The sequence below is a fragment of the Homo sapiens genome, chromosome 1, assembly GCF_000001405.40.
Source record: "Homo sapiens chromosome 1, GRCh38.p14 Primary Assembly".
NCBI lineage: Eukaryota > Metazoa > Chordata > Mammalia > Primates > Hominidae > Homo > Homo sapiens.
Window position 1 is genome coordinate 24,646,536 of NC_000001.11, and position 27,403 is coordinate 24,673,938.

The 27,403-nt window shown below is 38.9% G+C and overlaps 1 protein-coding gene and 1 non-coding gene across 74 annotated transcripts in view, besides 1 other annotated feature; one reads left to right on the forward strand and one right to left on the reverse strand.

The window, feature by feature from the left end:
• The window catches only part of SRRM1 (serine and arginine repetitive matrix 1), a 29,980-nt gene extending 3,234 nt beyond the window's left edge, over positions 1-26,746 (forward strand). For 2 of the 73 annotated variants that reach the window (NM_001366595.1, NM_001366597.1), the window contains exons 3-18: positions 132-254; positions 2,324-2,494; positions 3,436-3,551; positions 4,874-5,077; positions 5,899-6,093; positions 6,378-6,497; positions 8,320-8,594; positions 14,184-14,264; positions 14,775-14,861; positions 16,125-16,269; positions 16,648-16,689; positions 20,280-20,390; positions 22,588-23,052; positions 23,585-23,780; positions 24,851-25,060; positions 25,647-26,746. In NM_001366595.1, coding sequence (NP_001353524.1) covers positions 132-254; positions 2,324-2,494; positions 3,436-3,551; positions 4,874-5,077; positions 5,899-6,093; positions 6,378-6,497; positions 8,320-8,594; positions 14,184-14,264; positions 14,775-14,861; positions 16,125-16,269; positions 16,648-16,689; positions 20,280-20,390; positions 22,588-23,052; positions 23,585-23,780; positions 24,851-25,060; positions 25,647-25,751 — 2,646 coding nt within the window. In that variant the 3' untranslated portion in view covers positions 25,752-26,746. Of the gene's footprint in view, positions 1-131; positions 2,495-3,435; positions 3,552-4,873; positions 5,078-5,898; positions 6,094-6,377; positions 6,498-7,770; positions 7,809-8,319; positions 8,595-9,116; positions 9,156-14,183; positions 14,265-14,774; positions 14,862-16,124; positions 16,270-16,647; positions 16,690-20,279; positions 20,391-22,587; positions 23,053-23,584; positions 23,781-24,850; positions 25,061-25,646 lie in introns of those variants that run through there. The other 71 variants (NM_001366569.1, XM_017000011.2, NM_001303448.2 and 68 more) reach the window with 56 other exon arrangements.
• Positions 8,380-8,565: a silencer, noted in NCBI's record as "fragment chr1:24981406-24981591 (GRCh37/hg19 assembly coordinates)". NCBI's record gives its function as "represses an EF-1alpha promoter that drives an FKBP-Casp9 reporter gene in an ReSE screen in K562 erythroleukemia cells {active_cell/tissue: K562}" and the evidence as "EXISTENCE:reporter gene assay evidence [ECO:0000049][PMID:32094911]".
• Positions 20,448-20,552, reverse strand: LOC124904829 (small nucleolar RNA U13). The gene has a single exon (XR_007067425.1). It is a non-coding gene; the product is annotated as a small nucleolar RNA U13 (small nucleolar RNA).
• Positions 26,747-27,403: the final 657 nt, after the last annotated feature.

Sequence of the window (27,403 nt, forward strand, 5' to 3'; positions counted from 1 at the left end):
AAAAATTAGCAGATTCTACTATGCCAAACAAAAAAACTAAGCTAAAAGGAACTTTGGTAGACAGAACTCTAACTTGAGCATTTTTTTTTAGGATTGTGAAGTTGTACTTAATTGTTTCTATGTTTCATCAGGTGGACATGAGCAAAGTAAATTTGGAGGTTATAAAGCCTTGGATAACAAAAAGAGTAACGGAAATCCTTGGGTTTGAAGATGATGTTGTGATTGAGTTTATATTCAACCAGCTGGAAGTGAAGGTACTAATATACAAATGGCTCTTGTTTCTGAATATGTGATATAATTTGTGAATCTTTGGAAACTGAATTTTTTCTATGGAGTGCAAATATAGAAGGGTTATTTTACAATGTTTGTTGTGAAAAGAATTCACTTTGTAAACAACTATTAAGGCTGGAAGTTTAGTGAAGGTGCATAGTTTTGAAAGCTACACAGGTGAAAAATCAAACTTATTGTTTGTAATTTTGCTGTTACATGTTAAGTTACTTTGACAGCAATTTTCTAATGATAATGTGATTTATGATTTAAAAGGCCTGAACCAAAATGGAAGTTATTCCTTGCGTCTGAAGTATAGCACCATCACCTTATTAGGTCACAGCAGAGTGAGTGTCCCAATGTCGCTCTGACCCAACTCCCTTGATGATGCAGTGTGTGTTTGGAGGTGAGTTGTGTAAAGTGGCCAAACATCAACAACAACAACAAAAAACACAAACAGGAAAGAGCAATTGGGTAAAGCTGTACACTGCTCTTTTAAAATACTATTATGAGATGGACATTTATGTGAAGCATGAGGGGCAATTCTGATTTGATTGGATATTGTTTTTAAAGGAACTAAGGTCTTTGTAGCTGCATGTCAGCTAGTCATCAGTTACATTTTAGAGACAGGATTTTTGTTTATACTTAAACTTCAGACAAATTGGCAGCATATAATTGTTCCTTTATACATGAGATAATATGATGATATAACTGATGTTTAAGAACATTCTTATTGTAAGACAGTTTCTGTTTTGCCACAGCAACCCAAAGGACAGTTAAGATATGTACCATATGACCTTTTTGCATATATACCAATGTGAATTTACTTTTACATTAATCATTTCCCCCAAAGAGTTCACCCTATGTTTTGACAGAACAGTTGGCATTTCAACTGATAAGGTATTTCTAGTTTTAAAATAATTTGGTGTTTGTATTTTGTTTTGAATATTTTTAAAGACTAATTTTAAGAATGCACTTTCTATAAAGTATATGCATCTTAGAAAACCAGGAACAGGGGAGAAAGTTTTTTAAATGATGATTGAAGATAGATTTTATTGGAGAAATGCTTTACTGATGTGTATTTTAGTGCATTTTAAAAACCTAAGTATCTGGTAGTATTCCCCTTGTAGTGAGCATGAGATTAAAGTTTAGAACTTTTTAAGACAATTCTTTTTTTGTGGTTGTGTACTCATTATTGCTTGTTCGTCTTTTGCAATTTAGATAAATGATATAACATTAAACTCAAGGTGGTTGAGTTGCAGTAGGGAGTCGGAAGCAAGCCAAGGGAACATCTTTCTCTACAGGGGACTTGGCGATTCCAAACCCCCAAGGTTCCAAGAAGAAACTGAAGACACCTGGAATCTGTACTTGCTTTGTGCTATTGAGCTGTGCTTGTTATACAGACCTTGTTGCTTGACCAACGGATTTAGCATTTAAAAACCCAATTATTTTTGAGAAATCTTGACCTCTTAGCACTTTGTGGACAGTTGAGAATTTGAGGCATTGTTATAATAGATTTTCCTTATATAAAACTCAGGCCTTTAGCTTAGCCCTCAGAAGTTACAGACTGCATGCATAACTTGTTAGTTTTCATAACTGGACAATAGATATTTTATGCAAAGCTATCTGTAGTGTTAGGGAGCAGTTTATGTACTTTTTCCGTTTCTCATTGGGGGAAAATTTCCAGGCAAGCAAATACTTTTCTTGTTAGTAAATACTAGAATTTGTGGATGTTTCATGATGGTTTTTAAAGTTAATAAATGTAAGGCCCACTAACAGCCACAGAGTCTAAAAATACTTACGAAATCCACAAAGGATTAACAGGCTGCTCTGATGCTTTTGGTAGAGTGAGAGAGAATTTGGTAATCTGTTAGAGATTATATTGCTGAGAAGCTACTAGGGAAGACTATTTGTAAAATAGTAAGGACTATATATATGTCTAAGCCCCTATGGTAGACTTAAAAAATACTAATTTAAATGAGTTTTAGGTTGGTTGATTTGTTGGTTGGTTGGTTTTGAAGTAACCTGTTTTTCTTCCTGTCGTGTCTTTTTGCAGAATCCAGACTCCAAAATGATGCAAATCAACCTGACTGGATTTTTGAATGGAAAAAATGCTCGAGAATTTATGGGAGAACTGTGGCCCCTGCTGCTAAGTGCACAAGAAAACATCGCGGGAATCCCTTCTGCTTTCCTAGAACTGAAGAAAGAAGAAATAAAACAAAGACAGGTAATAACCTTTTCTTTTCTGTAATGTCGATTTGAGAGTATTGGCCAGGCTGCCGAGACACCTTAGGTAGTATATGACTCAGCTAGGATCTTCATGTAGTTTTGCTTTGCTGTACTGTATTTAAACATTCAGTTTTGGTTCACTGCTCCTCCCTCCAACCAAACATTGAGTTTAGAATGTCATTTTCCCAGTCTAGTGATTTGCTAGATTTTTACAAATTCTTAATATGTGAGTGCATGTAGCTTAAAAGAAATTTGAATTTAACACTGAAAGGTAAGCATAAGGATTTTTGGTTTGTTGTTTTTTTGAGACACAGTTTCAGTCTGTCACCCAGGCTAGAGTGCAGTGGTGTGGTCTCTGCTCACTGCAGCTTTCACCTCCTGAGTTCAAGCGATTCTCATGCCTCAGTCTCCTGAGTAGCTGGGATTACAGGCGCACACCACCACATCCAACTCATTTTTGTATTTTTAGTACAGACGGGATTTTGCCATGTTGGCCAGACTTGTCTCGAACTCCTGACCTCAAGTGATCTGCCCGCCCTTGGCGGGATTATAGACGTGAGCCACCGTGCCCAGCCAGCATAAACTCTTAATATGGGCAATACAGATGAACTCCCAGAAAGAATAAGGTCAATGTGAAAGTGATTTTCTTTTTTATTTTATTTTTTATTTTTATTTTTATTTTTTTGAAGTAAGCTTGAAAACATCTCTTTAGTTCAGGTCTTAGAGATTAACTTTCAGTGAATATTTATTTGTAAATGAGTGGCGATAATACCAGTCTTAATGCGTATCTGTAGTGTAGGTGAAGAAAGAACAGGTCTGGTTCAAAAGAAGAGGCCGATGAAATGATAATAGCATTGGTGTTTAACACACGTAGAAAGTAGTCTTCAGTTTGTTCTCAAATGTTCAACTATGTGTATTTTGAAAACCTGGTCTTTGCAGATTGAACAAGAAAAACTGGCATCTATGAAAAAGCAAGATGAAGACAAAGATAAAAGAGATAAGGAAGAAAAAGAAAGCAGCAGAGAAAAAAGGGAGCGGTCTCGTAGCCCAAGAAGGTATCATACAATAGATGCATAACTGATGTTTTACAGGTACTTTAGGTCTTAAGAAACTTCCTTAGTTAAAAAGGAATCTAACAGCGCTATTCAAGGAATTTGTTCCATCATGCAGTTTTCATGGTGACCTGTGCCTTGCCTCTGGACTAAAGAAATCTGTCATATTTTGTTTGAGACAGATAATTTAGCCATGAGTGTCTCGCAGATGTTCATAAATTATCCAACTCTAAATTCCTAAATCAAAACTTTAAACTTTTTCTTCCATATTGCTTTAGTTCATAACAGTTAATTTGGGTTTTTAAAAATGTACTCTGACTCACTTTTTCTTTCCATTTCCTTTCTTCTAAAAAGAAATCTGTACTCGAAATCTGTACTCATTAGCCGTTCATGTAATACTTACCTAATTCCCTGTTCTGCTTTTCTTAGATGGTTGTACTGAACCCAAACTTCAGATCATTTATTTGTTTTCTTCTTCCAGTGAGACTATTGTTAGGTTCACATTTTTAAATCCACGGCTCAGCTTCTATATTTGTGGTGAAAGGTGAGAACTCCATTAGGCTTTTTATTTTTAGGGTTCTGCTTATTTCTTTCATAAATGTCTGCTGGAATTAGTAAAGAGAAGAGGTAATTTCTTTGTCCCTTTCATTTATATATTTGATACTAAAATCTCCTTATGGAAGTAATATTTATAGAGCTAAGCACAAATTGTCATGGTGGTAACTACTTGACTATTGATGAAGTATGTCTGCCATTTTCCTTCTGTGTGAATAAGAGAAAAACCCTTCGAGTTAGGCAGGCTACTGTTAAGAAAGAGGGCTTCTCCTCTCGCAAAAAAGCTATCTTCTGGATGTTTGATGTATATTTCTCTTTTCTGAAGAACATGTTGCTTTAATGGTATTAGTCATTTTTCTGGCATACTGAGGCTCTTCCTGATGAACTCCATTGTAATCTGTCCGCATCTAAATGTTTTATGTTTGGGAGTTTGATTTGTTGTCAAGGATTATCATTGTTTGCTTTAAAGCATCCTCTTTGCCTCTGAAAAGTTGGTCTTTTGATCTCTGGGAATGATTAAGAACCTAAGTCTAGAGTCCCAAGTTAGTGCTTTTCTCCCTTATAACTGATATACTCGAGAATGTTATCTTTCATTTGCTTGTCTTTCTCTTCCCTGTCAAGTAGATTAGGTTAGCATGTCTTATTTCCATAGGGAAACATCTCAGATATAAACAGTAGTGTAACTAAAGATTAATCCTCACTTCTCCCTTTGACTCCTCTCTTCCAATCCATGTTATTTAAAAACCTGAAAAAAATTACTTTCATCCTAGACGCAAATCCAGATCTCCTTCCCCTAGAAGACGATCTTCCCCTGTCAGGAGAGAGAGAAAGCGCAGTCATTCTCGATCTCCCCGTCACAGAACCAAGAGCCGGAGTCCTTCCCCTGCTCCAGAAAAGAAGGAAAAAACTCCAGAGCTCCCAGAACCTTCAGTGAAAGTAAAAGAACCTTCAGTACAAGAGGCTACTTCTACTAGGCAAGTATATAAAAATTCATTTATAAATAATCACAATTTTAGATTAATAGTGACTGCAAATATGACATCTGAGTTAAAATAAAACTACTTATTTTCCTTTTAGATTTTTTAAATTATAAAATTAGTTTGTTGAAAAGAAATTGTTTAGGAGAGTATATTAGAAGAAAATGCCCCAGAGGGTGACCATTACTATCTTTTGGTTGTATTGTTTCAGGTATTTTATATATTGTAACTTGCTTTTTTTCCTCAACGTATTGTGGACAACTTCGCACTTTTAAGAAATGTATGTGGTTGCCAGATGCGGGGGTGCATGCCTGTAATCTCGGCACTTGGGGAGGCTGAGGTGGGTGGATCGCTTGAGCTCACAAGTTAGAGAGCAGCCTGGGGCAACATGGTGAAACTCCATCTGTACTAAAAATATATATATATATATATATATATATATATATATGTACACACACACACACAAATTAGCCGGGCATGGTTGGCACATGCCTATAGTCCCAGCTACTCAGGAGGATCACTTGAGCCTGGGAGGTTGAAGCTGCAGTGAGCCAAAATCATGCCAGTACACTCCAGCCTGAGTGACAAGAGTGAGACCCTGTCTCAGAAGAAGAAAAGAAAATGTACATGGTTGGAATTATTAGTTGCTCTCTGGGTTTCAGTGATAGGTACATACATACTTATGTGTCTTTTGGAGATAGAGACAAGTCTGTGAATTTTGAAAAGTTTTAGAAATACTTTATTACATCATTGTGTAATGATTTAGAAGGCTGAGTACAAGAAGGCAAAAAAAAAAAAAAAAGCTTTTGTTTCCACAGTGACATTCTGAAAGTTCCCAAACCTGAACCTATACCAGAGCCTAAAGAACCTTCTCCGGAAAAAAATTCCAAAAAAGAAAAGGAGAAGGAGAAGACCCGACCACGATCTCGGTCACGCTCCAAATCAAGATCCCGGACGCGGTCCCGCTCTCCTTCTCACACTCGACCTAGACGGCGCCATAGATCCCGATCAAGGTGAGTTGTGGCTTTAAGATCAACAAAGATCTTAGGTTTTATATACTACTCTACTGGGTACAATTAGATAAATAATTTCAAAGTGGTAGAAGATGTTTAGTACAAATATTTTTTGAATGTACACAGAGAATTTGAGGACACTTTTCTGTGTACCATAAAAATCTACATAAATGGAAAATTTTGATCTTTGAAATTTATTTTTTAGATGTGGCCATTGAGAAAACTAAGCCAAGAAATTCCTCACTCCTGGTTTATTCAGGACCTAATTCTCTTTGTTATGGCAGATCGTATTCACCTAGAAGGCGGCCAAGCCCAAGAAGGCGGCCATCTCCTCGAAGAAGAACTCCGCCAAGAAGAATGCCTCCTCCACCAAGGCATAGAAGGAGTAGATCTCCAGTAAGACGGTAAGATTTTTTAAATTTGGAAGTGTCAAGTGTTTGACACTTCTGGATAATCTTTCTTTTAGGATAATCTGTAAATTAGTGTCCCCTGGAAGAAAGAACTGATAGGTGATATTAGACAATGTCTTCTAAAGAGTCTGTTTCATTTGAAGTGTAATGCAGTTGTTCGTGTTATGAAAAGTGTCTAGTCTGGTGTTGGAAAGTAAACGAGAAATTCATCTTATTGATACTTTTCTGTTAACTTTTACCCTTCTAGACTTCACCAAGAAATCATACTAAGTAAGAGAATTGGCCACCTTCTCTTTGGCTTTTAACTGGCTTCTGAAAAGTAGCTGATTATAGGGCCAGTAAGCTCCTTTTACCAGTATTAAAGTAATTCATTTGCTGTTATACTTTGAGAAAAGTATTTTTATGAATTTTTTATAAAATTCTCAGAAAATTCTCATTATAGAAGTAATGAAGCTTATAAGTAATTCAGACAGAAATAGCATAACTTGGAAGTTTTCCATAATCCGTGGGGGAATATATCTATATTCCATAGATATAATTGCTATTACTAGTTTAGTGTCTGGTTATTTTTCAAAACCCCAACTGTACCAGTGTTCTTTTTTTTACATCATTCTAAAATGAGCATAAGATAAAATATTTGAATCTTGGATATATCACTTTAAACAAAAATTAGTGGCTAAGTCTACCCAAAGTAGAGTCCTAGTGCACTGGTAGCAGTTTTTGTGCCTTCTTGCAATACGTTTCACCTGGCTTGGGAAGAAATGCCGATGATTAAGCTTCCAGTTATTTTGGACAGAATTTTTTGTTTGAGTCTTTTAAAGTTCTTTTCAGGGAACCAAATCAATTTGGAAATAAAGAGGGGAAAAATCAAGTAAGCTCTGTAAAGTTACTTTGTTTCTGCAGTCAGGTTTTTCAGAGTCCCATATTTTGAAAATTTTCTTTGGGGAGGGGTTGTTAAGATATATTGAACTATTACTACTGTTGCAAAGAATTGATGTGTTGTGCTCATAGAGGAAATTAGTGAGGTAAATGGTCAGTCAATTTTCAGGCATCACACTTTTCTAATTCCCTTTTAGGAGAAAAGTAATGCTGGTGCTTCCTAGTACAAGATTAGTGGAAACAGCTATTTCTTATACTGGAGTTTTGCAAACAGCATGTTTAAATTGTGCTTACTCAGCCATTTAGCAGTCAATATTTTACAGATTGTTTAAGATTCCCTTTCAGCCAGTTTTTATCTCACACTTAAGGTAGGGTTTCTTTTTTTCAGGTTCTCAGGAATTCTTCCGCCAAAGGTGAATTCTGCAGGTACACATAATTGCAACAGAACTTAACACAAATTTTGCCGCAGAATTCGAGAGGCCCCTGCTTCTAAGTTTATGTAGCTAAATGAATTCTTAGTTTTGCACATCTTTTTTAAAAATGCAACCTAAAGGTTTCTCAACATTGTGTTATTAAATGGAAAATACCTTGCCCCCAAATTTTATATGCAAACTCCAAAACACCAATACCATTCCTAAGGCAGAAGGACTAGTTAGTTATTTTATTATAGCATTCAACCTGACAAGTTTTATAACTGGAGAGAGAACACAGACAGAAGTATTTATCAGATTAAGTTGTTTATATTAATCTCAGAACTAGCTGTTTCCTGGCCTAGGTTATGGTTTTTTCCCCCATTCTTTTGGACTCATTTATGTGCTTAGCTACATAAACTCAAAAGTCGGATTAAAATAGCTGTATTTTTGTGTAAACTGTTCATACCTGTAAGGCCGTTCTTTATAAGTGTGCAATTAGTGAATATGAATACTTTATTCCACAGAAGAAGACGTTCGTCAGCATCCTTGTCTGGGAGTAGCTCATCATCCTCTTCATCTCGTTCACGGTCACCACCAAAGAAGCCTCCCAAGAGGACATCCAGCCCCCCTCGGAAAACTCGTAGGTTATCTCCTTCAGCAAGTCCTCCAAGGCGAAGGCACAGGCCATCACCTCCTGCAACTCCACCACCCAAAACTCGGCATTCCCCTACACCCCAGCAGTCAAACCGTACAAGAAAAAGTCGTGTTTCTGTGTCTCCAGGGAGAACTTCAGGTAAAGGTAAAAATCAAACACATATGAAACATGGTCTCTCTTTCTTTGGCTACAAAGCGTAGTCAGTTATTGCCCCCTGCTCACTCTCAAAGTATGAAATAGCTAGATAATATTTGTATCTAATACTCTCTGTAGGTTTACTTATAAGCCTACCTCTTTCCTGCTTTAAAATCTTGGGGCTTTTTTATGTGTAAAAGGGTTTTGTTTTTAGCAATGCCCTGTGGCATTGCGCAGGTGGAGAAATCTTTTACCAGCCGTGGGCTGTTTGAGTTGGGGTAACATATCAAAGTTTGCGTTGGCATGATAAGGGATCATTTTATTACTATGAGACCAGTTAACTTTTTTTTCTCCTGAAGATTTTTGGTTTGATATCTTAAATAAGAGGACTTCATATTCTCTTTTAGTTCTTTCTTGGTCGCATTGCGCTCCCAAGCAAAGGACATGGTGTCCTCTTAAAAGCTGATTTGTTTTTTTAATTTAGGTTCTAGGCAGGGTTCTTCTGAGTGTTGTCCTTGCTTTATTCTGCAGATTGATTTCTGAGGAATTTATGATCTGTGAACCTGCCAGGCAAGTAGAATGCTGTGTTAGTCTGAGTGAAGGTTGTGGTCTATTGGGGTTTGTTCTGTGAGCATTAAATACGCATGGAAAAAACTGTAGTGTCCATTTGAACCAGGCTCTCTGGAGCTTAGGGCTGGAATGATATACAGCCTAAAAGGTGAGTAGTAAGGGATGGGGAGGATCTTAAAAGCTGCTAAAGCAATTGAGTTTTAAGGAGCAATCTGTAGGTTAACACACGCTGGGGTTATTATGATCATATTGAAAATTTCAGGTTAGAGCCAGGTGTGGTGGCATGAGCCTGTGGTCCCAGCTACTCAGAAGGCTAAGGCAGGAAGATCACTTGATCCCAGAAGTTCAAGGCTGGCCTCAGCCCCATAGCGAGATCCTGACTCTTAAAAAAAGAGAGAGAAAAAATTTCAGGTTAGAAACAAAGAAATGGGGATGGGCAAAATTTTCATTATACATTTTAATGAGCTTGATGAGACCAGCATTGCTAATTATTCACCCTGTTGCCTTATCTCCCCACTCCCCAAGGCTGCAATGTGGTGATACCTAGAAAGGCAAATTTTGCTTTCCTTTTTTGTATCTGTGACAATGAGGCATAGATAAGCTGACAGAGTGAAAGGGTGACCAGCAGATTATGATAGTCTGTAAAAAGTAATGTTTTCTGAATTGTGACATTTTTATTGTAGTGATAGGTTCATTAAATAAGACATGGCCACTTTTGTTGGCCCCTTAGAGAAGCAGCTAGTGAAAGTAGAGAAGCCTGTAACTGTTCCAGGTTCAGTCCTCAGTTTGAGAGAGGGGCTTCGGGATCACTGTTTTCATAACCTCATGTACCATACTGCTTTTCAGCATTGGGAAAATTTCAGTCCATTTTCAGTTACCATGTCCAAATCTGATGCCCATGGCCCTGGCCTATTTTGTCTTTTCCTGTAAAGTTTGTACTTCTGAATATTTATTCTTTGTCTGGAGCCACAAAGCTCTCCAGGGAAAAAAACAAGTGTTTTTACCTGTTACTTTGCAAAAACACATCAAGTGATGATTTTTTTCTATTTATATCATATAGCCTAAGAGTTGCAAAAGTACCTGAACAGAGGGACCAATCCTTGTTAAAATAGGTTGATTGTTAAGAATTATTAGGTACTTTTAAAAAGCATCTGCACAGATGCTAATTTCTTGTGTTTTGGCATATACTTTTTGCAAACAAGACAAGAGTGGATATGTACATAGGAAAGAAGTAAGCCATGGTGAAAATAAGTATTTCTGTGGGTTTTGGGACAGGGCTTCCGTGTTCAAACAACCTACCCAAAGAGAGGCACTACAGGCAGTGTAGTCAGTCTCCCCTGTGACCACTGGAGCTGAATATTGGTTTGACCTACTTGGAAATAACCTCTCCCCACCACCCCGCTAAATAGAGCCAGCATCTCACTCTGTCACTCGGGCTGGAGTGCAGTGGCCCAGTCATAGCTCACTGCAGCCTCCAACCCCTGGGATTACAAGTGTGAGCCACCACACCCGGCCCAGACAACCTTTTATATTAAACTGATCCCAGCCCTCTGTGATGAAATTTCAGAGCTAGAAAAGACCTTAACAGTTGTCATCAAGAAACAGATTTTCAGGTTAGTTGACTTGGTCAAGGTCAACCAACTAGGAATAAAACTTGAGTTGTCATTCCCAGTTAAATAGTGAATACTTTTCACAACTTTCCTACCCCAGAACTCTTCTTTGATTGCTAAAGGTGAGAAATGGAGGGCAGGGTTGAAATTCTTTAGCTTCTCTATCTGGTAGTATGATTTCAGAAATTACTTTGCAGTTTCTGCTGCTTAGAACAGTAACATCATTGAAATGTAATAGATATTACAGTTAATATTTTCCCTAGTGGCCACTAATCAGGGCTTTAGGGCTCTGCTCTTGATAGTGGGCAAATGGAGTGGGAGGGAGGCAGGAAAAGTGTTTTGGGGAACTTACAGGTTAATTATTTGGAATACAGTATACAGTCATCTGAAGGGATCTTAGGGGAAACATTTGTAATTACTGACATTTCATAAATTGGCATTATCTTAGTACATAAAATAGTGCTTGAAATCAGTGGCACAGTCAGCGAAGTATGTTAACATGATCAATACTGGTGGTGACGGTGTGGTAATTTTGATTTATTTAGATTAGCTTGGCCACATACATTGTGCTATCTGGACACTTAAATGGTTATTTTACTATTGTTGGTCACAGAGTAACTTATCTTTATAAGTGATCTTTTGGGCAGGTCTAAGATTAATAATTAATAGGACTGTTGGAGTAAATTTAAAATTGTGGTTTTAAAGTTGCCTTCTACGATTTCTGACTTCATGCTAGAATGATTTTGTCCCTTGAATACTTAAAACAACATTAACATAAAGTAAATGGTGTAAAGTCTCATCTAGAAAAATAGAAATCTGAAGTGCTGTTATAATATTAATAATGCTGTGATTCAATTGTATTAAACCAGAGTAGGAGTATATAAATGATAGTTGTTTGATGGTATAAATTTTTTTTTTTTTTTTTTTGGAGACGGAGTCTTGCTCTGTCGCCCAGGCTGGAGTGCAATGGTGCAGTCTTGGCTCACTGCAACCTCTGCCTCCCAGGTTCAAGCAATTCTCCTGCCTCAGCCTCACGAGTAGCTGGGATTACAGGCACATGCCACCACACCCAGCTAATACAAATGTATTAATAAAGACTACTTTAGCTGAGTAATTAGTGAGAAATTGAATCAGGATGCAACTCCAGATGTGTATTTCCACTGGGGGAGAATGGAAATAATGTTAAATTCACTTGTATTATATAATGAGTAGGCTTTTGCCAACTATCTTGTAAGCATAACCACATTTTTAATGTTTCTTAGGGGAAAATGTATCCAAACAATCAGCTTCCAAAGCAAGCTTGGGAACCCAGTTCTCTAAGGTGTGGTAACTTGGACATGCACTTTTTAACGACGTGCCCATAATATCTTTGCAGAAATTGAGGATTAAGTAACACTTAAAAATAGAGAATATGGACTTAGAAAAAGAGCCTCAAATAGTTAACAATTTTAAAATATTTTTATTTCTTTGAATTTGTTAAAATATAAGTATTAAGTATAGTTTGCTATTTGCACTGTCATGATTCCTGATATCTAATTGAGTGATAGCCATTCTTTACCCAATCCAGTGATTTGTCCAAATGGCTTATTACGTAGAAATTTTAAGAAAAGTCGCTGGGCGCGGTGGCTCACGCCTGTAATCCCAGCACTTTGGGAGGCAGAGGTGGGTGGATCACCCGAGGTTGGGAGTTCAAGACCCGCGTGACCAACATGGAGAAACCCTGTCTCTACTAAAAATACAAAATTAGCCGGGCGTGGTTGGCGCATGCCTGTAATCCCAGCTACTCAGGTGGCTGAGGCAGGAGAATCCCTTGAACCCGGGAGGCGGAGGTTGCAGTGAGCCGAGATCATGCCATTGCACTCCAGCCTAGGCAACAAGAGCGAAACTCTGTCTCAAAAAAAAAAAAAGAGAGAGAAAGGGAAAAGTCTGTTCATTGAAAAGGCATACTGGTAAATTCTTCATTTTGACTTCTTTAGCAAAGATGCGATTACTGTGTTAGATCACTGGTTCTCTAATTACTGCCCCTTGGAATAAACCATTACAGAATTCTGAATGTGAGTGTCTGTTAAATGAGATGTATCTGTATTCTGAGTCAAACATTCCATGGCAATTGCTTTAATCACACAAAACAGGTATCAGGATCCTGAGAGGATCAAATTGTCTGTAGGTTTATTTCTTATTGGGATGTTCTCAAGTGGTGTTTTAGGTTAATTTATGGTATATATATGTTTATATGTGAATATACTTATGATTTTAGTTGTAGCAATGGATAGATACTATAAGCAGAGTTAGTTGTTGAGATTAAAACCCATGGCCTAAAAATAGATTCTTGGATTCACATCTTAGCTCACTTAAATTGTCTTTGTGACTGAGGTGAAGTTGCTTCTTTTTAAGCCTCAGGTTTCCTCTCTTGTGAAATGGAACAGGGAGAAAGGGATGTGATACTACTGTGTTAATAGTGTGTCTAATACAGCAGGCTTACAAAAGGTAGTTACCATATTTCTATGTTATTGGTAAAAGACAATTGGATAATTCATAGGATACCCACTGCTCTCCTACTACTTGAGGTATAGAAATGCCTTTTTTTCTTTCTAGCTCTTTGGAAAGAATCCTCGTCTTTGTATTTAATCATTTTTACTATTTGTGGCGGTCTGCTTTTTTTCATGGGTAGTTTAAATCCCCTGTGCTATTGTGAAGATTATGCTCTACATAAAGAACCTTTAACCTGTTGGGCAGTCATTCTTCTTTTCTAGACCAAATATCTTTGTGAAAGTTTCATGAGATCTTATTTCTTAATCATTTATCATCTTTTACTTTTCTGAACCCACCTATTGTGGTTGCTTAAAAGCTTTCATGTTGATGAAGTCTCTGAAGTTGAGTGTGAGGGAGTGAGTGTGGGTGTGGAGGGTGTGTATTTTAGATTGTGGAGCTCGTGTAGCACACAGAGGTTTACTTTACTGAGCTTGTTCTACTCAGTAGCAGCTCCCAATTTCCTTTAACTGTTGGTTTTCTTGGGAGAATCTCAAGATTTGAAAATCATTGTAGAACTTTTTGAGGCTTTTCATTAAACATTTAAAAATTCTTGTCTCACTTCAGATAATGTTCAGATATGACAACAAGGTCTTACAGGAATTTTTTAAGTCTTCATAAATTCTTTTTGAGAGTAGTCACACCCATTTTTGTAATAGCAGGAAGGCATCTTGGCTGGGCACAGTGGCTTGTGCCTGTAATCCCAACACTTTGGGAGGCTCAGGCAGGAGGATTGCTTGAGGTCAGGAGTTCAAGACTAGCCTGACTAATATAGTGAGACCCCATCTTTATTTAAAAATAATAATAAATTTTTAAAAATTAAAAGAAAAGCATCTTGTATAGACCTTTTTTTGTACGTAAGCTTTTTTCCACTCTTATTCTTTTTTAGTGACAAAACATAAAGGTACTGAGAAAAGAGAATCCCCTTCACCAGCACCGAAGCCTAGAAAAGTAGAGTTATCTGAATCGGGTAAGTTTGTTGTTTTTTTTTGTGATTTTGGTTTGTTTGTTTTTGTTTTTCTTAAAGCTGATTTTGATTTTTTGCACATTTGGTCATCCCCTTCTGCTTGAAGATTAAGTATAGGGTAAGAGCTAAGACTCTGAAGGCAGACAGACTTGGGTGGAATCCCCCATTCCAGAATTTAACTGTTTCTGTTTTAATTAACTTATCTGAGCCTTTCTTCTTTCATCTCCGAAATAGGGACAGTAGAGGTTTTTGACAGTTAACTGTATCTGCTTGTAAAATGCTTGGCACCAGCCTGACCTGTAGTAAATGCCTAAATAAATTTTATTATATTTGGTGAAGATAGTCTAAATCAGCCTGTGAATTGGCATTTTAAACTCTTTTTAAAAAAAATATATAGTAGTTGTATTTTTGATCCAACCAAATGAAGGTTTGAGAGACTATTTTCCTATTCAAATTGCAAATTTTCTATATGCTTAACTAAAGAAACACTTTCTAAATGCATCCATCTTTCAGAAGAAGATAAAGGTGGCAAAATGGCTGCAGCAGATTCTGTGCAGCAGAGACGCCAATACAGACGACAAAACCAGCAGTCTTCATCTGGTATGGATGGTGATGAAAGTTTTTTTTCTACCTGTATTTCCTATTAAAAAATACTTGGTATATAAACATCTGTGTGTGCAGCATGAGTACTTACTTGCCTACATAGAAATCTGTCTGAGGAGGCAGGATTGTTTCTTTTTTTGGTTTTAAGTCCTTTTGCAAAATTTAATTTTCTGTTACATTGTTATAAAAGTAATAGGTCCCTAGGATACAATAGTGAAACAGAAAACAGAAGTATAAAATTGGAAACGTATCATTCTTTTTCCAACCTCCTAAAGCTTTTATTCAGAAATTTTCTGTGCATATAGAAAAAGGAAAAGAAAAAACCCCACAGAAGCTCAACTGTAGATATGTTGCCTCACTTTTTAACTTAACAGTATATTTAGAACATCTTTCCCTATTAAAAATCTAGACTGGGCGCAGTGGCTCACACCTGTAGTCCCAGCACTTTGGGAGGCCGAGGTGAGCAGGCCGAGATCAGGAGTTCAAGACCATCCTGGCCAATAGGGCGAAACCCCATCTCTACGAAAAATACAAAAATTAACCGGGCATAGTGGCGCACACCTGTAATCCCAGTTACTTGGGAGGCCCAGGCAGGAGAATCCCTTGAACCCAGGAGGCAGAGGTTGCAGTGAGTGAGCTGAGATCGCGCCACTGCACTCCAGCCTGGGAGCCTGGGCAACAGAGCAAGGCTTTGTTTCCACAAAAAAAATAATAATAATCTACCCTATTATTTTACTATTTGCATTTTTTATTGTAAGAATATACCAGGCTGGGTATGGTGGCTTAACCTGTAACCCCAACACTTTGGGAGGCTGAGGTAGATGGATCACTTGAGGTCAGGAGTTCGAGACCAGCCTGGCCAACATGGCAAAACCTTGTCTCAACTAAAAATACAAAGATTAGTTAGGCATGATGGTGCAGACCTGTAATCCCAGCTACTCAGGAGGCACAAGCGGTCTTTCTGCCTTGGCCTCCCAAATGCTGGGGTTAAAGGGGTGAGCCACCGTGCCCAGCTCAAACTTCTTAGAGTATGCCATCTTGATTGGATTACACTGTGGAAATTATTTCTATGTCTTATTTAAATAATATGCTTGGCTTTGAAATCATTGATCATATATTGATAATGATTCTGTTCAGAACTGATGGCCTGTATACATGCTTGCTTACCCTAGTGAACACTCCATCCACCTAGATTTCAGAAAACTTGGACAGATTCAAGCACAAACCTAATGTAATATTTTTTTAATTTTGTAATTATAGACTCTGGCTCCTCCTCCTCCTCAGAAGATGAACGACCCAAGAGATCCCATGTGAAGAATGGTGAGGTTGGCAGGCGGCGGAGACATTCCCCTTCCCGGAGTGCTTCTCCATCACCACGAAAGCGCCAAAAAGAGACTTCCCCTCGGTAACATCTTTGCTTCAGTGATGTTCACTGATGTTCTGTAATTGTGATGAAATTTGATAACTTGGGATTATTTGAGAATTTGGTTAACTCCTTCAAGTATTTGGATGTGGTTGGATTTTTGTTTGCTTTTTAGGGTTTCTGTTTTGTTTTGTTTTTGCTTTATTGGTGGTTATTAATAATTAATTTAGAATTGGTAAATTTTAAACCACCATGTCATATATGTGTGCATGATTAGAAAAATAAACCAAACTATTATAGCAGTAACTCCTGAACATCTTTGAATATTTAAAAATGTCTCCATTAATGGTACTTAATCCACCCAAGTAAATAATTTAGTGAATGGAATTCTTGACATTTGTTTTTCTCCACTGCTCTCAGGATGCAGATGGGAAAGCGATGGCAATCGCCAGTGACTAAAAGGTTGGTTAGACACTACTTTGTAAATTAGGGTTACATGTCAAAAATTGTAGTGACTTAATTTCCTATTTAGGTGACCTCATCTCATTCTTAAATATATGGTGGCTGTGGCTGTGAATGTGCAGATCCTAAGTTGTTTTGGTTTGAGTATTTTTTTTAACACATTAGATTAATGATAGGGAGAATTATACATGAGCTATTTGGTTTAGACCCTTATTTGAACTTAGATTTTTAATATCTGGTTGTGCTCTTTTGTGATAATTTGCATCAACTTACATCAAGCAGCACGCAGATTTTTAACAGTATCTGGATACTTTTCCAGAGATAGGATTATTGCTCCTTAGATTTGGGGGGAGGGACTTTGTATTTGTGGTGACATTAGGGAGGGCAAGGAAAAACTAGGGAGAAACTTTAGAAATATTAAAAGTGAGAGGATCACGAGGTCAGGAGATCAAGACCATCCTGGCCAACATGGTGAAACCCCATTTCTACTAAAAATACAAAAATTAGCTGGGAGTGTTGGCGCGTGCCTGTAATCCCAGCTACTCGGAAGGCTGAGGCAGGAGAATCGCTTGAACCCAGGAGGCGGAGGTTGCAATGAGCTGAGATCACGCCACTGTACTCCAGCCTGGCAACAGAGCTAAATTCCCTCTCAAAAATAATAATAATAATAATAATAATAATAATAATAATAAATAAAAGCGAATGGAAGGCTTTGGCCCTGTTCAGTCTTTCCAGTACTAGAAAGGTGGGTTGCATAGCTCTCTTTTTTTTTTTTTTTTTTTTTTTGTTGAGATGGAGTCTGGCTCTATCACCCAGGCTGGGGTGCATTGGTGCGACCTCGGCTCACTGCAACTTCTGCTTTGTAGGTTCAAACGATTCTCCTGCCTCAGCCTCCTGAGTAGCTGGGACTACAGGCACATGCCACCATGCCCAGCTAATTTTTGTATTTTTAGTAGAGAAGGGATTTCGCCATGTTGGCCAGGATGGTCTCAAACTCCTAAAGTCAGGTGATCCACCCGCCTCGGCCTCCCAAAGTGTTGGGATTACAGGCATGAGCCACTGGGCCCGACCTGCATATCTTTATTGAAACTTTTGATTATTAGTGTCACTGTGACCATAAAACTGTAAAATTTTAGAGCCAAATCCCTAATTCAGGCCTTACTCTCATAAGTGAGAAGATAGCGGCCCTGATGGGGTAGTTTCTTAGGGCCGCAAAGTGACAAAGTTGGATCTTAGACCTATACATTTGGCATTACACTAGTCTGTCTTAACCAGCTTTCTGCTTTTGGGGCCTTAGCTGCCACTGAATTTTGAAGTATTTATCCTTGCTGAAGCTATCCCACTGTCCTTTTTGTAGCTCAGTTTTTGAAGCTGTGTTGTTTTAGGTAATCTCATCAATAAGAGTGTTTTCTTGGAAAGGAACCAGTGAGCAGTGTTTGTGATGGAGCAAAGCACGGGGTATTTACACTGTGGAGGAAACTGCTCCATGATAATAAAAGATAAAAACCTAAAAAAGATTAGTTTGGCTGCTAAAGCATTCCTTTCCCAGCTATAATTATCTCTGGCTTTTGTGAAGTTGCTAGCACAGCAACTAAACAATTGCTTTACAGAGTTAGATTAGTGGTGCAATTTCTTCTCTTTCATCTCCCCTTCCCTCCCCACCCCCCCACCAAATTATGGCACTACTTTCTGTTCTGGAAAGAGATTCCTCACAGCAGTAAAATCAACACTAATGTTTATTGCTCTACTCCAGGATGTTTTTGTTTTGTTTCTCGTCATTTAAAAAGTATTTTAAGTTATATACCAGCAGCTTCAAGTTTAATGCCATTAGAAATTGCCATCAGGTTCCTAGGATTTAGAGATGGAGGAAGGATTATTTGGAATTATGCTTCAGTATCGTATTTTAGAAGGGGAGATAGAGGCCGGGTGCGGTGGCTCATGCCTGTAATCTCAGCACTTTGGGAGGCTGAGTTGGGTGGATCACCTGAGATCAGACGTTTGAGACCAGCCTGGCCAACACGACGGAACCCCATCTCTACTAAAAATACAAAAAAGTTAGCCGGGCGTGGTGGCGCATGCCTGTAGTCCCAGCTACTCGGGAGGCTCAGGCAGGAGAATCGTTTGAATCCGGGAGGTGGAGGTTGCAGTGAGCCGATATCGTGCCATTGCACTCCAGCCTGGGCAACAAGAGCAAAACTCCGTCTCAAAAAAAAAAAAAGAGGCTCACGCCTGTAATCCCAGCACTTTGGGAGGCCGAGGCGGGTGGTTCACGAGGTCAGGAGATAAAGACCATCCTGGCTAACACGGTGAAACCCCGTCTCTACTAAAAATACAAAAAATTAGCTGGGTGTGGTGGCGGGCACCTGTAGTCCCAGCTACTTGGGAGGCTGAGGCAGGAGAATGGTGTGAACCCAGGAGGCAGAGCTTGCAGTAAGCCCAGATCGTGCCAGTGCACTCCAGCCTGGGCAACAGAGCGAGACTCTGTCTCAAGAAAAGAAGGGGAGATAGAGCCTGGTTTTGAATATTTTATATGTATTTAGTGTGAGGTCTTAGTCCCCACAAAGCATAAGCAGATTTAAGTTGAAAAATTTAGTGGTGACTTTTAGGATTTTGTCTGTTCAGTTAACAGAGATTTCTTAGTTTCTAACGGGAACCAAGACAAAACATAATTCCAGATTCACAGGAAGCATGAGTCCTGTCCTGGGCAAAAAAAATTAAGAGCTTGGAGCAGAGACGTCCAGACTTGGGTCTTAAGCCACTTGTGACTATTGGCATTTTTGAATTTCTGTATTAGAGTCTCTAAAGCAGTTGATTCCTAATAAGGAATTAGAATCACCTGGAGAGCCTTTCCCAAAAACACCTGGCTGGACCTTAGCCCAGACCTGGTAGGCATAAATCTCACATAAGCTTCCTAGGTGGTTCTAATGTGCATCCCCAATAAAAAGCAGTGCTCTTATGTGCTGTTGCCGAACTTTTTCACTCTGTGTCATGTCAAGAATGTTTGGTATTGTGATCCAGAGTAAAAGAAAAATTTCACAAAACGGTACTTACCCTTGTCACAAGTAAAACACTCTGGTTTTATTAAGTTTTTTAATGCTGCCACCCAGGGTCTTGACTGATGATCTTGACCTGTAGTTTGAAAAACACTGTTCTGAAACTTAGTAACCATTGCTGCCCTTGGGGTTAATGATAATTGAAACCGTGTCTTCTGGGTCACTTAACTATAAATGCCACTGACTCAAAGTTAACTATATAGGCCAGGCGTGGTAACTCACACCTATAATCCCAGCACTTTGGGAGGCTGAGGCAGGCAGATCACCTGAGGTCAGGAGTTCAAGACCAGCTTGGCCAACATGGTGAAACTCCGTCTCTACAAAAATATTTTAAAAAATTAGCCAGGCATGATTATGGGTGCCTGTAATCCCAACTACTCAGGAGGCTGAGGGGGGAGAATTGCTTGAACCTGGGAGGCGGAGGTTGCAGTGAGCCAAGATCATGCCATTGCACTCCAGCCTGGGCGACAGAGTGAGACGCCATCACACACACACAAAAAAAAGAAAAAAAATTAACTATAATTCTTCTTGGTTTAGTGGTAGACGGAGGAGAAGTCCATCCCCACCACCCACCAGAAGGCGACGGTCTCCTTCTCCCGCCCCTCCTCCTCGACGGCGCAGGACTCCCACACCACCACCACGACGAAGGTACTTTGTCAAATATGCTAACTGGAGCATCTCCCCAACTCCCCCCGCCCCTGATAACATCAGATGAGTAATGGTGCTCACTTCCTAACAAGGTTGGAGAGAGGCACAGCTCATGTGTGCATGTGAAAACCCAATCATCATGCTTATGAACTACAAAAGGATCTCTGAATCTTTCTGATGATTATATCTTATTAGAGTAAGCAGACTAGCATTGTTCAGCCAGTCATAAAAGAACACGTATGATTCCATCTATATGAAAAGTCTAGAATACACAAATCTATAGAGATAGAAAACAGATTAGGGTGGGGTGGACATGGGGATGGTAATAGCTGCAGAACTATATGAATATACTAAAATCATTTAATTGTATACTTTAAATGGACCTTAAATGGGTAAATAGGTAGATTTTATAGCAGGTGAATCATGTATTGTCATAAAGATGTTAATACATTAAAAGATGGTATTGACTAGTAATTGTAAAGAGAAAATTTAGAGGATACTGGCAGATATCTCTTACCTAAATAATCAAAGATAACATCCTCAATAAAACATTGGCATCGTGTATTTCCTGGATACCTCTGTAGTATGCTTACCAATTATGCCAAACCTCAGTCTTATTATTAGGAAATAATCAGACAAACCCAAATTGAAAGTCATTTTACAGAATACCTGACCAGTATTCAAAAGTGTCAGTCATGAAAGACAATGACAGAAACAGTCACAGATTGGCAAGAACTAAAGAGATGTAGGGTCCTGGAGCAGAAAAGGAACATTGATTAAGTCCTGGAACAGAAAAGGGACATTCAGTAGTGGAAAACTGGGTTGTTTGCTATTTTAGTAATACTAAGTTATCACTGAGGTTCATTTTACAGTTTTGCTAATTTTCTTATGGTTATATAAAATATTAGCATGGTGAAGTGGCAAATCTCCTATTTTTGTAGCTCTTCTTTACAACTATTTTAAAGTGAAAATTAGGGGAAAATGTTTTAATGTCATTGCTCGGATATGTTGCCAAGCAATGTAATGACATGCTGCCACTCTTTTTTTTTTTTTTTTTTTTTTTTTTTGAGACAGTCTCACTCTGTCACCCAGGCTGGAGTGCAGTGGCCGATCTCAGCTCACTGTAACCTCCGCCTCCTGGGTTCAAGCGATTCTCCTGCCTCAGCCTCCCGAGTAGCTGGGATTACAGGCATCTGCCACCACACCCAGCCAGTTTTTGTATTTTTTGTAGAGATGAGGTTTCACCATGGTAGCCAGGCTGGTCTCAAACTCCTGACCTCAGGTGATCCGCCTCAGCCTCCCAGAGTGCTGGGATGACAGGTGTGACCCACTCTGCCCAGCCTGGCTGCCACTCTTGAATGCCTGTTAAGTGCCAGGCAAAGTGCTAGGTGCTTTATATGCTTTACTACTAGTCTTCAAAGCGACCTTGCTTGATAGTTGGTATTGTTTGCATTTTTCAGGTGAGGAAATGGGAGTTGAGAATTACTAAGTAATTACCCAGATACAGTGATGAAATTGTGCCCTACCACATTGCCAAAATATATGGCCTATTGTAAAGCTAACTCTGGGCAGGAATTTACTTTGATCTAAAAGTCTGCAATATCCAAGAGGAAATTAGGCAGTTTGGCCTGAAAAGTGGCCTTTTGAGACAGAAAATGGAACAGTCTCTTTGAGGGGAGGTAGAAGTGTCTTTAAGGCTTGTGCAGTGAACTCTTAATTATTCATACAGTGTCCAAATGCTCATTCAGAGAGGATACCACATAGGAGACCTCTTTAAAGTGCAGACTTCCTAAGGTGACCATAATAGAGTTTTGCTAATACAGTTACTTGGTTATTATATAATAACTGATGTTCAGTTAATACAGTGCAAGATTCTGTTTTCAAAAAACGTTAATTTTGTATAGATGTTAAAAGATTGACAAATTCACATCTTCTGAAAATTGCAAATTTTTGTTAATCAAAATGTCTTTTTTTCTTTTTTGTACTTAGTCCTGCAGACAGTGTCCTGTGTTGCAGTCAGCTGAGATAAACAAGTTTTATTGATATTTAAGTGAGAATATAAAGATAGCATGTTCACTTATAAATATATTCCCTTTGCCTAGTGCTAACTACAGTATAGCCAAACCTACTGATTACTTTTCATCCTGTTTCTGTATTTTGTTGAGCCTTTCAGCTTAATTATGTATCTTTTTCCTAGGACTCCTTCTCCTCCCCCACGTCGGCGCTCACCTTCTCCTAGAAGATACTCTCCTCCAATACAGAGGAGATACTCTCCTTCTCCACCTCCAAAGAGAAGAACGGCTTCACCTCCTCCCCCTCCTAAACGAAGAGCATCACCATCTCCACCACCAAAGCGGCGGGTCTCCCATTCTCCACCTCCCAAACAAAGAAGCTCCCCAGTCACCAAGAGACGTTCACCTTCATTATCATCCAAGCATAGGAAAGGGTCTTCCCCAAGCCGCTCTACCCGGGAGGCCCGATCACCACAACCAAACAAACGGCATTCGCCCTCACCACGGCCTCGAGCTCCTCAGACCTCCTCAAGTCCTCCACCCGTTCGAAGAGGAGCGTCGTCATCACCCCAAAGAAGGCAGTCCCCGTCTCCAAGTACTAGGCCCATTAGGAGAGTCTCCAGGACTCCGGAACCTAAAAAGATAAAAAAGTAAAAATATTTTATGCTTTTCCATTAGGAATACTTACATAGCTGTTTATATTTGGAAGCTTCCCCCCACCCCCATATAAAAGGAATAAGTTATGAATATGAGCTTTTAAGTCAAACTTGAGGTACTATTTACAGATCTTATTCCATTTTTTGGGATAGTTTCTGTGGTATAAGTTAAATGCCACAGGCTTTTACTTGGTTCTTAGCAGTTATTAATTTGTTTTTGAGGGGTATGCTTCCAAAACTAAACTTGAGTAAGACATTGAACATTTCTTGTGTGTGATGTAAGGAACTGACATTACTAATCTTACATAAGAAGCATCATTAACAGAATAGATAGAGGATTATGGGGCTTTAGCCACCCTCTGGGAAACATAGGTAATGTAAATTGGATATATGTTAGTTGAATCAACCAGCAATCTAAGTGGTATATTTGAAATTCATAACCTGGTTGTACAGTGTAGTTGGTGGTTTTCTCATGTGAAGAGAGATGGCTGTTCTCAATGCTGAATGTTTTTTCCTTTTTGTCTAGGGCTGCTTCCCCAAGCCCACAGTCTGTAAGAAGGGTCTCATCCTCCCGATCTGTCTCCGGGTCTCCTGAGCCAGCAGCTAAAAAGCCCCCAGCACCTCCATCCCCCGTCCAGTCTCAGTCACCGTCTACAAACTGGTCACCAGCTGTACCGGTCAAAAAGGCCAAAAGCCCAACACCGAGCCCATCACCGCCAAGAGTATGTGTCTGCCTTATTTTGGACACCCTTTTATAAATATGTATATGGTCACTTTGAAGCAGAGAAAATGTCATTGGGGCATTAAAATATTGGTGTTTAAACTTTTTTTCCCATTTGTGAGTTATACATCTGATCTTGGGCAGGTTTCTGTATTGCATAAAATCAGTGGTTAGGTGTCCATCTGTTTTTTGTTTGTTTTTGAGACAGGGTCTCATGCTGTCACCCACGCTGAGTGCAGTGGGATGATCATAGCTCACAGCAGCCTTCCTGGACGCAGGTGATCCCTTCGCCTCAGCCTCCCAAGTAGCTGGGATTATAGGCACATGCTGCTACACCTGGCTGGTTTTTTGTTTTTAACTTTTTGTAGAGACAGGGTCTTGCTGTGTTGACCAGGCTGATCTTGAACTCCTAGCCTCCAGTGATCCTCCTGCTGTGGCCTCAGATGTCCATATTTAATTGGGTTGACTGAATAGTTGTGCAAGCTAACTTGTGAGGAATTTTAAGTAATTGCTTAGAAGTGTGAAATTGAAATATTATGGATTAAATTATAGGAGCCTGCTTTTTGCATAAATTTGGTATGTGTGTCATGAGGAAGAACCAGTCATCCCCACTCTAAAGATAGGAGAGCTCAGATGGTAGCTAGAGACATGGCATTCATACAGGCATGTGTTTAGACTAATGGCTGGTACCATTTATTAAAAGTCTGCTACATGTTAGGCAAGTATTATGGGTGATTTACAGATATTCTCATTTAATTTTCACAAGAGCTTTATCAGGTAGGGATTATTACACTTATTTTAGGTAAAAAGGTCTCAGAAAGAGTTCAACAATTTGTCTAAGGTCAAATAGTTCAGGAGCTGGAATTGAGCTCATCCTGGAGATAGCCCCTGACTTTTGAATACTTTTCTTGGTGATAATTGGCCTTGGGCCTTCCCCACTCACACCCTCCAAAGCCTTTCGGAAATCTTGAGATTTGTCCATTGGGGATTTGAGGAAATAAAATGTTCAGTTGGACAGAATATTAATCAGATTGATTATAAATGCTGGGTGTTGTTTTTTTTTCTTCCTAGAATTCAGATCAGGAAGGAGGTGGAAAGAAAAAGAAGAAAAAGAAGGACAAGAAACACAAAAAGGATAAGAAGCACAAGAAGCACAAAAAACACAAGAAGGAAAAGGCTGTGGCTGCAGCTGCTGCAGCTGCTGTGACCCCTGCAGCCATTGCAGCTGCCACAACCACATTAGCACAGGAAGAGCCAGTGGCAGCGCCAGAGCCGAAGAAGGTATTTATGAACTCTGTATATGGCTGTCTTGCAGTTTACGTACAGATAGCAAAGTCATTTTGTTTTGAGAAGTAGCAAAATTGTTTTTTCTACTAATTAGCCAGTTACTCTGAGATAAAAGTCACGTACCATACAGTTCACCCATTTAAAGTTTGTGGTTCCCTGGGTTTTAGTATATCAGTTGTGCAGCGATCCCCACACTTTTTTTTTTTATAAAGGTGACTTATTTATTTAAAATATTAACTATCCACAGTGGCCATTATATTTGCATACAGTTCAGTACTCAAAAGATTTGTGAGGTTGGTTTTTTTTTTTGTTTGTTTTTTAATTTTATTATTATTATACTTTAAGTTTTAGGGTACATGTGCACAATGTGCAGGTTTGTTACATATGTATACATGTGCCATGTTGGTGTGCTGCACCCATTAACTCGTCGTTTAGCATTAGGTATATCCCTCCCTGCTCCCCCTACCCCACAACAGTCCCCGGTGTGTGATGTTCCCCTCCCACACTTTGATTCTGCTCTTTACTCGGCATTTCCCACCAGGGTCTCAAGACTTAACCGTGTAAATTCTGTTTTTTTTAGGAGACTGAAAGTGAAGCTGAAGATAACCTTGATGATTTAGAAAAGCACCTGCGTGAAAAGGCCCTGAGATCAATGAGGAAGGCCCAAGTGTCCCCACAGTCTTAGGGGGAAATGTTTGTTATGATGTAAATTTTATTTGGTTTGTACGCAGTTCAATTTCAAAATTGCTAAAATGTGTTTGAGCTTTAGACTATAACATTTGTTGTAATAATTGCTAGGTTGAAGTTCAACATGTAAAAAAAGGGGGCATGGATTTACATTGCAAAAGGTGTCCACAGTGTATTAGTGACATTCTTTCATTGACAGCTGACATAATTCATTGAGTGAAATATTTTAAGCCAAAAAAAAATTCCCTTTTTAAAAAAGGGGGTTTAAATACTGTTGGCATTTTTATGGTTCCTTTAAATGCCCTAGCTATTCCCAGAGGGGTTTTTTTGTTTGTTTTTTTGGTTTTGATTTTCTTTTTGTTTTTCTTTCTTCTTCTTATTTTTTTCATTTGAGTCTTAGCTCCCATTTAAGTTATGCTTCTGACCTTGTATGGTCTGTAAGCTTGCCCAGAAATAAGACCACTGTTTTGAACTACCACAAAAGTATAAATGAATATTTTAATGCCACAATCTTTCCTGTTGCCTGTGGAGTCTCTGCTGAAATGAATCAGGATTCGAGCTCTAGGATGAGACAGAAAATGAAAGCATGTTGTTTGCCAGGACACTGTGGGTTTATATTGATGTGTAACAAGTTGATTTGGAACACTGGACTCTCATTCTGTTATTCTGGTTTTGTTTTTTTTGTTTTGTTTTTTTTCTTTTGTAAAGGCAATGAGCTAGTCCCAGAAAGGATCCTTCAGTTACATACAATTTGTTTAATGAAATGTCATGGCTCTGTTCATATTTTTGTCTTGTTCTTCCAATTGGTATATACAACTTTCAGAGCCTCTTGTATTTGGAAGGCTGGAAGGGCCCAGACTTTGGAATAGTGTCTTGGTTTCACTGTTTTTGTTTTGATTTTTTTTTTGTTTTGATTTTTTTTAAACTAAAGCTATATAAAGCTTGTGGATTAAACAGAATAAATTTCTAAATTTAAAAATTTTGCCACTCTTACTTAGTAGTGCTTATGTAAACCTTTTGGTGTGTTGGGAGTTGGGCAGGGGAAAGAAAAGGTGATGAAATTAAGGTTTTACCATCTTTATTTCAATAATTACTGTGGTGAGTGCTATAAAGGGAATCAGCATGTGATTGGAACATTTAGAATACTGGTGGGAGAAGTCCACCAGGCAAAGAGAACAGGATTGCAGTCAGACAAACAGTGTCTGTGTCTTCCCTGAGGCAGAAGGAGCCTGCTGGCATGTTAGGAAGTGAACAAAGGCTAAGGAATGACTGGAACACCCTCTGTCAGGGGCGGGGTGGGGGGGGGGGGGTTGTGTGTGTGTATGTGCGTGTGTGTGTGCGTGCGCACGTAATATTTGGCTATCTACAACCAAGTCTGTTTTGCATTTAAAACTAAGTGGAACGAAAATTTGGGGAAACTTGGAGTTGTTAACATAGTGTGAGGTAAAACAGCAACATTCGTATGAAAGAAGTTCACCAGAAACCTAAGCTGAGCAGGTCGACGCATGTATAGTTTGATTTTAAGTTCTGGCAGTTGAACCAAAACAAGGAAGAAAATGCCTACAATCTTAATTTCTTTCTTTTTCTTTTTTGGTTGAGGTCTTGCTCTGTCACCCAGGCTGGAGTGCAGTGGCACAATCTCAGCTCACT